At 36.3% G+C, this 13,145-nt stretch overlaps 1 protein-coding gene across 5 annotated transcripts in view, besides 1 other annotated feature; it reads right to left on the minus strand.

Annotated features, from left to right (window-relative positions):
• HERPUD2 (HERPUD family member 2) overlaps window positions 1-13,145 on the minus strand; it is a 62,477-nt gene that overhangs the window by 38,737 nt on the left and 10,595 nt on the right. For 3 of the 5 annotated variants that reach the window (NM_022373.5, NM_001438072.1, XM_047420699.1), the window contains one exon: window positions 1,806-1,883. The exons of the other annotated variants lie outside the window; for them this stretch is intronic. In NM_022373.5, the coding sequence (NP_071768.3) occupies window positions 1,806-1,883 (78 nt within the window). The remainder of the gene's footprint in view (window positions 1-1,805; window positions 1,884-13,145) is intronic. 5 annotated transcript variants of the gene reach the window in all.
• Window positions 7,871-8,071: a silencer, noted in NCBI's record as "peak6479 fragment used in MPRA reporter construct". NCBI's record gives its function as "represses an SCP1 promoter by STARR-seq MPRAs in K562 erythroleukemia cells {active_cell/tissue: K562}" and the evidence as "EXISTENCE:reporter gene assay evidence [ECO:0000049][PMID:32103011]".

The raw sequence follows: 13,145 nt of genomic DNA on the forward strand, positions 1-13,145 counted from the left end.
CTTCAGAGACAGCATGACAGAAGGTACGCCTGGCAAAGGAGGTTGAAGACACTCCTAATTTTCAACGTCTCCCTTAGCTTCTTAATACAGAATATTAACAAGCATACAAGTATAAGATGTTGATCCTTAGAAACCTAGTTCCAAAAGGTCATTATTAATCACAATTAATTCACAGAATTTATTTATCTTGGGAATGTTTCTATAAAACATTTTGTGACTAAATAGGTAAAGCTAATGGCAGTATTTAACTGAAAAAAGTAAAGGGGTACATTGACTTTAATAAAAACAGTTGAAAGAACTATTCAAAACATAAATGTATTACTCAAAATGTTTTATATAGGGGCACAAGAGTTCTTTGACTGAAGCAGTTTTTATTTTAAGTTGTTTGGCCTGAAACCATTCCTGGCAGCAAAAATCTTTTTAAAAGTCTTCATGTGTAGATTTAAGCTATCCTTGGCATAAAATAATTAATATATCTATATTTCAAAGAGCAGATGGCAGAAAGGACTATACCGAAATATATTTTATTTCTGAGCACCAGCATAAAAACAAGAGAAAAAAAAAGAACAGCCAGAATACAGAGGTTTTTAGGGCTATTCTAAGTGATACTATACTGGTGGAGACATGTCATTATATATTTGCCAAAACTCATAGAAAGTGCAACACCAAGAGTGAACCCTAACATAAACTACTGACTTTGGGTGATAATGTATGTCAATGTAAGCTCACTGATTGTAACAAATGTACTACTTTGGTGTGGGATGCTGATAGTGGGGCAGGCTGTGCCTATGTGGGGTCAGAGAATGTAAGAGAAATTGCTGTACTTTCTGTTCAATTTTGCTATAAACCTAAAACAGCTCTAAAAAATTGTTTAAAAAAAAAAAAGAGGAAAGAAAGAAAAAAAAACCTGCTGCAAATTCCACTATTTTTGAGGGAGTGGGTATTACACCATGTTAGCAATTTGAAACTACATATTGCCAATAACAGCAAGAAGTCACATTGGCAAAGCTAAAATGTCAACTGTCTAAGCAGAAGGAATATACTAATATATTTTTTTAAAGTTTCCCATAGGTGATCATAAACATACAGGAGAAGATACAGATCTTCTAAATTAGATAAGGAATATCCACAACAACAGTTAGAGTTAAGTCAAAGATCTAAGGCAAAACAAAGAAGAAATTCAATTCTGCTATACCCACCAACAAAAAGCAACATTTCAAATGCTGAAAAGCTCTATAAGTATAAATTCCACAAATGAACATAAGCTAAAAGCTACCACTAAAATAACTAGCCTTCAAGTTGATTTTATTGAAAATATTGAAATATAAAAATGTATTGAAATATATCTTAGCTCTCAGCACCCACAAAGTTTGCTAACTGATGGACCAGTTAATTTCCTCCTGAAATTAAACTCCCAACTCAAGCAATTTGTATAAAAATATCATGCAGCTGGCAAAAAGGAGATTAAGAGGAAAGACTGTTATCAATGAAAATCCGTCACCACTACTGAACATTCTACTTCTACACTACTGACGTCAATAGCATTTTCTTACAAAAAATGACAAACACCTGAACATGAATACATAATCGTACTTCAGATTTAACTATCAGATGGATATACAGAACTGTTACCTAAACTAATAAGAAACTATCATGTTACTTTCTAATTTATCTTTACTTGTTACACCACGCAAAGGGATTGATTTTAAGTATCTAAAAACTGAACTGGTTGAATAAAATTTCAGAACATATCTCCTCTCACATTCTGAATGTATCTGGTATCAAATAGTGGTAGAAAAGCTTACTTTTCTGAGAATGTCTTTCAGCTGCAGATGATCGGGAAGCAGTCTGCCCGAATACACCAATCTCTGATCCTTCGTCAACTAAGAAATGGGACAAAGAAAAGAATTCAACTTTTCTAATTATGCAAATTGAAGGTTGGGAATAACATGCCTAATTATGGGTAAAATAAAACTCCCTTTAGGCACAAGTAAGCAGAAAACTGACACAATTTAAGAATTTTTGTTTTTCCAAATTCTACTTAAGAAAAAAACATTTAAGAGTTCAGCAAATGGTAGTGTATCTATTGTAGCTATAATAAAGTACAGATAATTAATACATTTAAAAACCTGAGGAGGGGGAACAGGTAGATAAATTGGAAGTCTGTCTTTTCAACTGTAATGCAATGCATATATGACTATCATTAAAAAATCTTCAAGACTATATAAATGAGAAAGTGGTTGGCCTTATATTAATCGTCAACAGTAGGATAAAATTTCGATGTCACCAGAATCATTTTGCCTTATTTTGTCAATTTTTCATCTAAGATAATATACAAGACTTACTTTCTTCCTTACTAATATTGTGCAGAACAATTTATTGGTTTTAATTCAAGAGCCATTTAGATTTAGTTATAAATTTACTTACTATTCTAATTATTATTCCTGCCACTATCACAAATACCTTTGTTAAGTTTTTCAAAAACACAAGACTAAAGAAAAATCAACACAAGTGCATGGAGAGTCAGTTGCCATCTCTATACGCAACCAGAATATGAAATTACGTAAAATTAAAGCGTCTGTATATACTCCACATAAGGCCTACTTCATAACTGCAAAACAGGTGAATGTTCTTTGAATTTTATCAAAACAAATACTAGCTATATCAGTAATTGTTAAATATGCCAAATCCAAGTCACAACTATAACAATTTTTAAGACTATGTATTCAACATGGCTACTACAAAAGGGTCTTCTTATATTAAAATTAGCCATAATAGAAATTATCATACTAAGATCTGTGGTTCAGGCATCCTTACACACCAAAGGTATAGCTATCCTTCCAAGATACTTAACCATTACACATATTCCAGTTTCTCCTGGAAGCATTTTGGAGTGTGCCATTCCTCAAATGCACATGTACAAACTCCTATATATAAACAATCAAATACAGTGCACAGGTTTTAAAATCATAAGTCTTACAACCTATATATATATATATATATATATATAGAGAGAGAGAGAGAGAGAGAGAGAGAGAGAGAGAGAGAGAGAGAGAGAGAGAGAGAGAGGAGCACTGTGGTATCGTAAAATGTATAAAATGTATTTGGTTTTCATGCTGTTTCCTGCCGAACAGCTCCTAAAATCCTTGGAATCTTCAGAAAGATGAGTATCTTTAGTGTGCTAATAAGACAACTGGTGGCTGGGGGACCCTACAATTTAACAGGGGAACCAACAAAGTGATTAGAAGGTTGCAACTTTCAGTCCCACCCCCACCCCCAACCTCCAGAGAGGGAGAGTGGCTTAAGGTTGAGTTGACAAACCAATGACCAATGATTTAATCAATCACGCCTACCTAACGAAGCTTCCATAAAACCCAAAAGGACTGAGTTCTGAGAGCTCCAGCACAGTAGAATGAGTCGAAGTTCCTCAAGAGTGGATGGGCCCAGAAAGGGCATGGAAGCTCTGAGCCCTTTCTCCAAGAACTCGTCCTATGCATCTCTCTTCCATTTGTATCCTTTGTAATAATATCCTTTGTAAGTGAGCAAATGTAAGTAACATGTTTCCTTGAGTTCTGTGAGCTGCACTAACAAATTAATTGAACCCCAGGAGGGGGTCACGGGAACCCCAATTTATAACCAGTTGGTCAAAAACACAGACCACAACCTGTGCTTGGGACCACATATGAAGGGGGGCAGTCTTGTGGGATTGAGCCCTCAACCTGTGGAATCTATCCCCAGGTAGATAGTGTCAGAAGTACACTGAATTAAAGGACATTCAGCTGATGTCCTCTGGAGAATTATCTGCAGAACTCCTTGTTGTTGGAGAGAAATCCCCACACATTTTGGGGACCAGACATTACAGAAGCATTCTGTATTGCGTGTTGTGAGAGCATAGTAGGAGAAACTCAGTTAGTTTTTTCCTATATCCATATAGGCACTGAATGGCAAACTATATGACCATAAGTTGAATGCTAAATATATAATCAATGATTTAATTCCTGCCCAAAATGAATTATCCAATGCTTTATAAATCTCTATAATGTACTTATTACAATTTGAACCTAAAGAAGTTTCTTGTATTACAGTCATCATAAACTATCACTTTTTTACCAGACCAAACATTTAATAAATAGATACTTTTACGTCATATCATCACTCTGCATAAAGGACATCAGTCTCTTTTTGTGAATTTTTTTCCTTTATAAAAATTATCAAACATACATACAGTGGAGGGAATAAAATGAACCCCCAGGTACCATCTTCAAGAACTCTCAAGTACCCAGCTTCAACAATTACCAAATTTTGCTATTCTTGTCTCATCCATCCCTCATTTCTTTTCTTCAAAGAGAATACTGTATTTTAATCTTTTTTTTAAAAAAATGTAGAGACGGGGTCTCACTCTGTTTTCCAGGCTGAAGTGCAGTGGCTATTCACAGGTGCGATCATGGTACACACTGCAGCCCCGAACTCCTGGGCTCAAGTAATCCTCCCGCCTCAGCCTCTGGAGTAGCTGGGACTCCAGATATATGCCACTGTACCCAGCTGAGTACTGTATTTTAAAGCAATATTACACATCATTTCTCTTCACCTGTACAAATTTAGTAAGTTTTATAATAACCATAATGTTACCACATTCAACAAATAATTCCTTAATATGTAATATCCAATGCAGCTCAACTCTTCCCACTTGCCCAAAAATGCTTTTTAAAGATGATTTGAATCAGAATCCAAATAAGGTTCACACACAAAATTTGACTGTTATGCCTCTTTTAATCTTTTAACAGTTTCTATTTTTAAAAAATTTTTCCCAGGCTATTTATGTGTTGAAGAAATTGTCTCGTAGAACTTTCCAGTCTGATTAGGCAAACTGTATCTTCCTGGTATTGCTCAGCATATTCCTGTAGTTCCTATACAATGTAGTTAGATCTAGAGGGCTGATCAAATTCCAATTCCTTTTTGTATGACAAGAGGACTTTTGACAAGGGGAACCTCAAATTGCACATTTTTGACCAGTAGGAGTCCCTACAAGGTGGCTCCTGCATCACTTTAACATGACCTCTGTCTCTAATAGTAGCTTCCTTGCTCTCAGGCACAAAATGCCCCAGAAGTTCATCTTACACATTTCATGCCCCAGACCTAGAATCAGCCATTGCTCCAGGATCCATGATTCATTTTAATGGGAAATGGTATCTAAAGACCAAAATCTGGGAGCTAGGAGTACTGATTTTTACTTGTCATTACTTCTTCAGTAAGCAGAGCTAGAAAATATGTATTTTTATAAAGAGAAACTTAAATCCTGAGTTCACTGTGACATTTCCAATTAAATAGTATTCACTCATTTTATTTGTATCTTCTCTCACCCTGAAAATCTTTCTTGCTAATGACACTAATAAATACCTGCCATTAGCAAATGTACTAATTTGTTTTATCCTACTACATGTAATCTCAAATTAACAATAACAAGATTGTTACTAACAATATTGAACAAAGTTTAAGATTTCTCATTGATCTTCTCTGTCCTTAGGATATAGGTCACTAGTCAAAATACAGTGTTTCAAAGTTACTTGAAATAATAATTCTTGTAACTGTGTCATCATCCTGACATTTTTAAATTCTTGTTTTCATTTAGAGATTTCTCTATTTTTTTATAATTATATCTAACAAAAAATGGCAATAAGGTAAAAACTATAAACAAGGTGCATTCAAAGAGGCTTTAGTTCTGTCCTTGTCCCCTCTATGATTTTGGATTGCCCTTACAATGCTTAACAACATAACAAAGCTGAATACACACATACTCCTATTTTCCTCCTTTTCTTACATAAAAAGTAGTACAGTATACTTACTCTATTGCATCTTGTTTTCTCACTTAATAAACCAGGGAGATTACTGCTTAGCAGCATAAAAATATTTTCCCCATTCTTTTTAACAAATGCACAATCCTCCATTATATGAAAGTACTATAGTTTGTTAATGGATATTTGAGCGTTTCTAGGCTTTCATTATTACGTATAGTGTCCTCCCTTCATATTATTCTATTTATCTCTATATTTCCCCATAGCATCCTGCAATAAGGAGATCATTAATGACATTGATAAAGGTAATCTTGATGGTGTAGCAGGGTAAAAACCTAATTGGAATTGATTCAAGAGAAAAGGAGAGACACGTAGAGATAGCAAATATATACAACTTATAAACAGTTTTGCACTTAAAGGAAGAAATAGGACAATAGCTAGAACGGAAATGGGATCAAGAGAGGGTCTTCCTTTTGGTTTGTTTTATTCTTTTGTGCTTTTGTTTTCTTCAAGAGAGAAATAATGTGTTTATATGCCAACAGAAGTAATTCAGTAGAAAGGAAAAAACTGATGATGCAAGAGAGAAAAACAATTTCAAGAGCAATGTCCTTCAGCAGCTAATAAGGGATGGGGGTCTTGTGTAGAGGAGTTGGACTTACAGAACAATATGACAGATGTAGCTAAAGAGATGCTAAGAAACTTATACAAGATCCCATCACCAGCACTCTGTGCCTCAGTTTCCTTATCTGTAAGTTAAGAGCGATAATAGATTGTATCTCACATGGCTTAATTTTCATAACAACGGAAATGCACATAAACTAGAACAGAACACAAAGCCTACTGAGTATTCAGTTAACATCAGGTGCAAATTTCTAGTACCTGCTCCTCCCACATCATGCAGTTTCATGAGGCTCTAATGAGATTATGGAAAAGTACAGAAAAGTTGAATGACTAACAGCAGGCTGTGTATGTTCATTATGCATAAGAACATGATTTGGATGCTGCTAAAACAGGTTGGGTTAAAGTTGCAATGACTGTCACTTCACATTATTAAAAAAAAAAAAACAAAGTTCCAATTCACATTAGAACTTTCAAGTCTCAGTTTTTTTGTTGTTGCTTTTTTTTTGTTTTGAGACAGAGTGTCACTCTGTCACCCAGGCTGGAGTGCAGTGGCACGATCTTGGCTCACTGCAACCTCTAACTCCCAGGTTCAAACAATTCTCCTGCCTCAGCCTTCGGAGTAGCTGGGATTACAGTCGTGCACCACCACACCCTGCTAATTTTTGTATATTTAGTAGAGATGGGATTTCACCATGTTGGCCAGGCTGGTCTCAAACTCCTGGCCTCAAGTGATCCGCCCGCCTCAGCCCCCTAAAGCGCTGGGATTACAGGCGCGAGCCACCACGCCCAGCCTAAAGTCTCAGTTTAAAATGACATTTATAAATCACAAAAGGAAATCTTTTAATTAATTTTGCCTTCTCTACGAGAAAAAATACTTTGATGTTAGTCAAAGAAGTCCATATCCAAAACATAAGTTATCTAACTTATGTTTTTTTATTTTTGGTTAAAGAATGTAGTATTTACCAACTACTTCTAGATGTTAATATATTATCTGCTTTCTACATGGGTAATCTCCATTTTCCTATTAAACTGTAAAAGTAATGGAATTTGTCAGATATTTTATCACAAGCATCACTTCTAAGCAAGATAGGGAAAAAATATGCTGGAAAACTCAGTATTTGGGACTACTGATCAAAATACATATAAATGGAGTACACTGGCAATCCTACTTAAAATGTTTACTCCCATAATTTGTTAGTAGACAGGTTTAAAACAAATTTTTCACGGAAACAATAGGTCACTTTCAGTCAGAGACTTCAAAAGCCAAAGCTTGGAAAACTTTGCAATGCAATACAAGTTAAATAAATTTAGGAAGATCATTTAGTTAAAAATAGAGGTACTGAAATCTCATGATGGCTATAAAGTGATTATCCAGATTATTGATAATATTAATTTTTTATCCAGAAAAAAACTCAGAAGATTTTGAGAATTCCTAGTCCCAGAACTATGGGTCCCACGCATACAAATAATTATTAAATTTAAAAGCTAGCACATATTGTATTTAACCCAAAATACAGCTAACTGAAGTAGTATGACTAGTATCCCAGAAAGAGACTGGTAATCCCTTATCTCCAAGTCCTTCTTTTTTAAAACCACCTACACCTACTAAACAGAACAGTTAGGCAATAGCTAAGCAAGTCTGTCAGCAGTAGGAGGAAAAGATGCAATAGCACCCAGCAAAAGTTTCTGACTTTTGAAAGGAGAAAGACAGACACCGCAGCCTTTATCATTTGCTTCTCTGGAAGAGGAATCAAGGTTTAGAAAAACCATTAGTAGGCCTGTGTACATTTCATTCATATCACTGGTTTTTGCCCTGCCAGAGTCTGCTAAATTTCCCATCCAATTCTAAACATTAGGGTTCTTCAGACAAGTTGCAAATTTGTCTCTCTGTCCAAGGCCTCACCCTCTCAGACCCAGATTCATATACCCAACTGCTATGAGATTTGACATCTTCATATATTTTAATAGGCAACTCAAATTCTACAATGCATTTCAATTCCCAATTCCCTAAATCCTTCCTCTTACTTCTTCCCTATCCCATAACAACCTGTGACCAGTTGTTTAAGCCAAAAACCTGGGCATCATCCTCAACTTTTCTTTCTTTTGCCTTGCCTCCCATATCTAACCATTGTCAAATCCTATAGACTCTATCTCCAAAAGTTCCTCTCAGATCAGTCTACTTCTTTCTACCTACACTGCCATTACCCTAATCTAAACCATCGTCTCCTGCCTGGGCATCTGCAATAGTCTTTTAATTGGTTTTCTTGCTTCCATTCTACAGTCAGCAGCTCCAGTGATCTTTTAAAAACTTAAATCAGCCAGGCATGGTGGTTCATACCTGTAATCCCAGCACTTTGGGAGGCTGAGGCAGAAGGACTGCTTGAGCCCAGGAGTTCAAGACCAGCCTGGGCAACATAGCAAGACTCCATCTCCTCAAAATTTTTTTTAAATGTAGCCAGGTGTGGTAGGGCATGCTTGTAGTTCCAGCTGCTTGGGAGGCTGAGGTGAGAGGATCACTTGAGCCCAGGAGTTCGAGGCTGCAGTGAGCTATGATCACTCCCACTGCACTCTAGCCTGGGTGACAGAGGAAGACCCTGTCTCAAAAAACCAAAAAACAAAAACAACAAAACAAACAAAACAAACTTAGATCAATCCTGTCACTCTCTGATGGATTCCCACTACAATGGATTTAATTCAAATTCCTTTCCATGGCCAGATCTGGCTTCTGTCTCTCTCCAAACTCCCCGACAGTATTCTTTCCTCCTTACTCACTAGCCAAACTGACATTCACTTAGCTCCCAAGCTCTCTCAATTCAGACACCCTGCCTGCTGTATTCTCCCCCAGCTCTTGCATACCTGACTCTTAATCACCTTTTAGATTTCAGTTTTAAAATCATCCCCTCAGTGAGGTCTTCCTTGACTTACAAATCTACAGTAGAGTATTCCCTCTCACACATCCTGTTTATATCCTTTGTAACACAAACCACAACCTGTAATTATGTCAACATGTGTTTTTTTCTCTTAAATAAAAGTGCCAAGAACAAAGGGTCCGTAGCCATCTTGCTTGTCACTGTGTTCCCACAGCCCACTACTGTGCCTCACAGAGTATATGCTAAGTGTAGATCTGCTAAATGAGGTGTTATGAGTCCAAAACTGCTTACACAGACTTGGAGAAACCACCTAATTTGAAGTTTGTTAAATTAGTTATTTTACATGTAATCGTGAAAAACAGAAATGAAATATTCAGTCTATGAATCACAACATTAAAACACTTGCTGGTGCTAAATTTATCTGATTCACTTCTACAAATGATACTGATATTAGCAAATTATGATAAAGAAGCAATCATATATTAGTATTTTAGTATTTTTTCTTTAAATTAATAGTCAACTTTGAATAAATGATTTTATCTTTCCACAGCAAGGTCACATCAATTTTCAGAAATGTAGAACATACAAATGTAACAAAATTACATAGTAGCCCCCAAAATACATAAAGCAAAAACAAGTATGGGCAAGGATGTAGAGAAACTAGACCCTTCCTACATTGCTGGTAGGAATGTAAATGGGTTCAGCCACTGTGAAAAAAAGTCTGGCAGTGTCTCAGAAAGTTAAACATACAGTTACCCTATGACACAATATATACCCAGTTCCATTGCTAGGTACATACCAAAAATGATGGAAAACATATGTGCACATAAAAACTTGTACAAGAATGTTCATAGCATAATTATTCTTAATAGTCAAAAAAAAGTAGAAACAACCCAAATGTCTATCAGCTGACAAATGGGTAAACAAAATATGGTGTATATAAATATATGCACACACGGAATATTATTCAGCCACAAAAAGGAATGAAATACTGACACATGCTATAATGTAGATGAGCCTTGTAAACATTATGCTAAGTTAAAGATAGGAGGCACAAAAATCCATATGATTCTTTTTATATGAAATGTCTAGACTATGCAAATCCATAGAAACAGAAAGTAGAAAAAAAAAGAAACAGAAAGTAGATTAGCACACTGGAAGAAAAAAGAATGGGGAGTGACTGCCAATAGGTATGGAGTTTCTGGGGTGATGAAAATATTCTAGAATTAGGCAGTGATTATGACAGCACAACTTTGTGAAGTACTAAAAACCACTGGGTCATATACTTTAAAGGGCAAATTTTACAGTATGTGAATTATACCTGCATTAAGAAAAACTGTTACTTTCAATTGAATATCCAAATGCCTTCAAATAATCTGAAGTTTTTGGTTTTTTGTCACCCAGGCTGGAGTACAGTGGCATGGTATCAGCTCACTGCAACCTCTGCCTCCTGAGGCTCAAGTGATCCTCCCACCCCAGCCTCCTGAGTAGCTGGGACTACAGGCATGCGTTATCACGCCTGGCTAATTTTTGTGTGTGTGTGTGTATATATAGATATATACACATACACACGTGTGTGTGTGTATATATAGATATATACACATACACACGTGTGTGTGTGTATATATAGATATATACACATACACACGTGTGTGTGTGTGTGTGTGTGTGTGTGTGTGTATATATATATATATATATATATATATATACTTAATCGGCATACAAGGGACATACCTCAATATAATAAAAGCCATCCATGACAAACCCACAGCCAACATAATACTGAATGGGGAAAAGTTGAAAACATTCCCTCTGAGAACTGGAACAAGACAAGGATGTCCACTCTCACCACTCCTTTCCAACATAGTACTCTAAATCCTAGCCAGACCAATCAGACAAGAGAAAGAAATAAAGGGCATCCAAATCGGTAAAGAGGAAGTCGAACTGTCGCTGTTTGACAATTATATGATCGTTTACCTAGAAAATCCAAAGACTCCTCCAGAAAGAAAGTTCCTAGAACTAATAAAAGAATTCAGCAAAATTTCCAGATACAAAATTAATGTACACAAATCAGTAGCACTTTTATATACCAACAGCAACCAAGCGGAGAATCAAAACGAGAACTCAACCCCTTTTACAACAGCTGCAAAAAAAAAAAAAAATACTTAGGAATATACCTAACCAAGGAGGCAAAAGACCTCTACAAGGAAAAACAACAAAACACTGGTGAAAGAAATCATAGACAACACAAACAAACAGAAACACACCCCATGCTCATGGATGAGTAGAATCAATATTGTAAAAATGACCCTACTGCCAAAAGCAATCTACAAATTCAACGCAATTCCCATCAAAATACCACCATCATTCTTCACAGATGTAGAAAAAAAAATTCTAAAATTCATATGGAACCAAAGAAGAGCCCACATAGCCAAAGCAAGACTAAGCAAAAAGAACAAATCTGGAGGCATCACATTACCTGGTTTCAAACTATACTACAAGGCCATAGTCACCAAAACAACATGGTACTGATACAAAAACAGGCACATAGACCAATGGAAGGACTAGAGAACACAAAAATAAACCCAAATACTTACAGCCAACTGATCTTTGACAAAGCAAACAAAAACAAGAATTGGGGAAAGGACACCCTTTTCCACAAATTGTGATGGGATAATTGGCTAGTCACATGTAGAAGAATGAAACTGGATCCTCATATTTCACCTTATACAAAAATCAACTCAAGATGGATTAAGGACTTAAATCTAAGACCTGAAGCTATAAAAATTATAGATGATAATATTGGAAAAGCCCTTCTAGACACTGCCTTAGGCAAGGATTTCATGACCAAGAACCCAAAAGCAAATGCAATAAAAGCAAAGATAAATTGCTGGGACTTAATTAAACTAAAGAACTTCTGCATAGCAAAAGGAATAGTCAGCAGAGTAGACAACCCACAGAGTGGGACAAACCTTCATAATCTAATCATCTAACAAAGGACTAATATCCGGTATCTACAATGAACTCAAACAAATCAACAAGAAAAAAAAATCCCATCAAAAAGTGGGCTAAGGACATGACAATTCTCAAAAGAAGATATACAAATGGCCAACAAACATATGAAAAGATGCTCAACATTACTAATGATCAGGGAAATGCAAATCAAAACTACAATGCAATACCACCTTACTGCTGCAGGAATGGCCATAATCAAAAAAATCAAAAAATAATAGATGTTGGCGTGGCAGCGGTGAACAGGGAACACTTGTACAATGCTGGTGGGAATATAAACTAGTACAACCGTTATGGAAAACAGTGTGGAGATTCCTTAAAGAACTAAAAGTAGAACTACCATTTGATCCAGCAATCCCACTATTGGGTATCTACCCAGAGGAAAAGAAGTCATTATACAAAAAAGATATTTGTGGCCAGACACGGTGCCTCATGCCTGTAATCCCAGCACTTTGGGAGGCCGAGGCGGGTGGATCATGAGGTCAGGAGATCAACACCACCCTGGCTAACACGGTGAAACCCTGTCTCTACTAAAAATACAAAAACAAAATTAGCCAGGCATGGTGGCGGGAACCTGCAGTCCCAGCTACTCGGGAGGCTGAGGCAGGAGAATGGCGTGAACCCGGGAGGCGGAGCTTCCAGTGGGCCGAGATCGCACCACTGCACTCCAGCCTGGGTGATGGAGCAAGACTCCACCTCAAAAAAGAAAAAGAAAAAAAAAAAAGATACTTGCACAAATATTTATAGCAGCACAATCTGCAACTGCAAAAACGTGGAACCAACCCAAATGCCCATCAATCAACAAATGGATAAAGAAACTGTGAGAGACAGATATATATATATATATACA

Source organism: Homo sapiens, chromosome 7 (assembly GCF_000001405.40).
Source record: "Homo sapiens chromosome 7, GRCh38.p14 Primary Assembly".
In the NCBI taxonomy this organism is placed as follows: domain Eukaryota; kingdom Metazoa; phylum Chordata; class Mammalia; order Primates; family Hominidae; genus Homo; species Homo sapiens.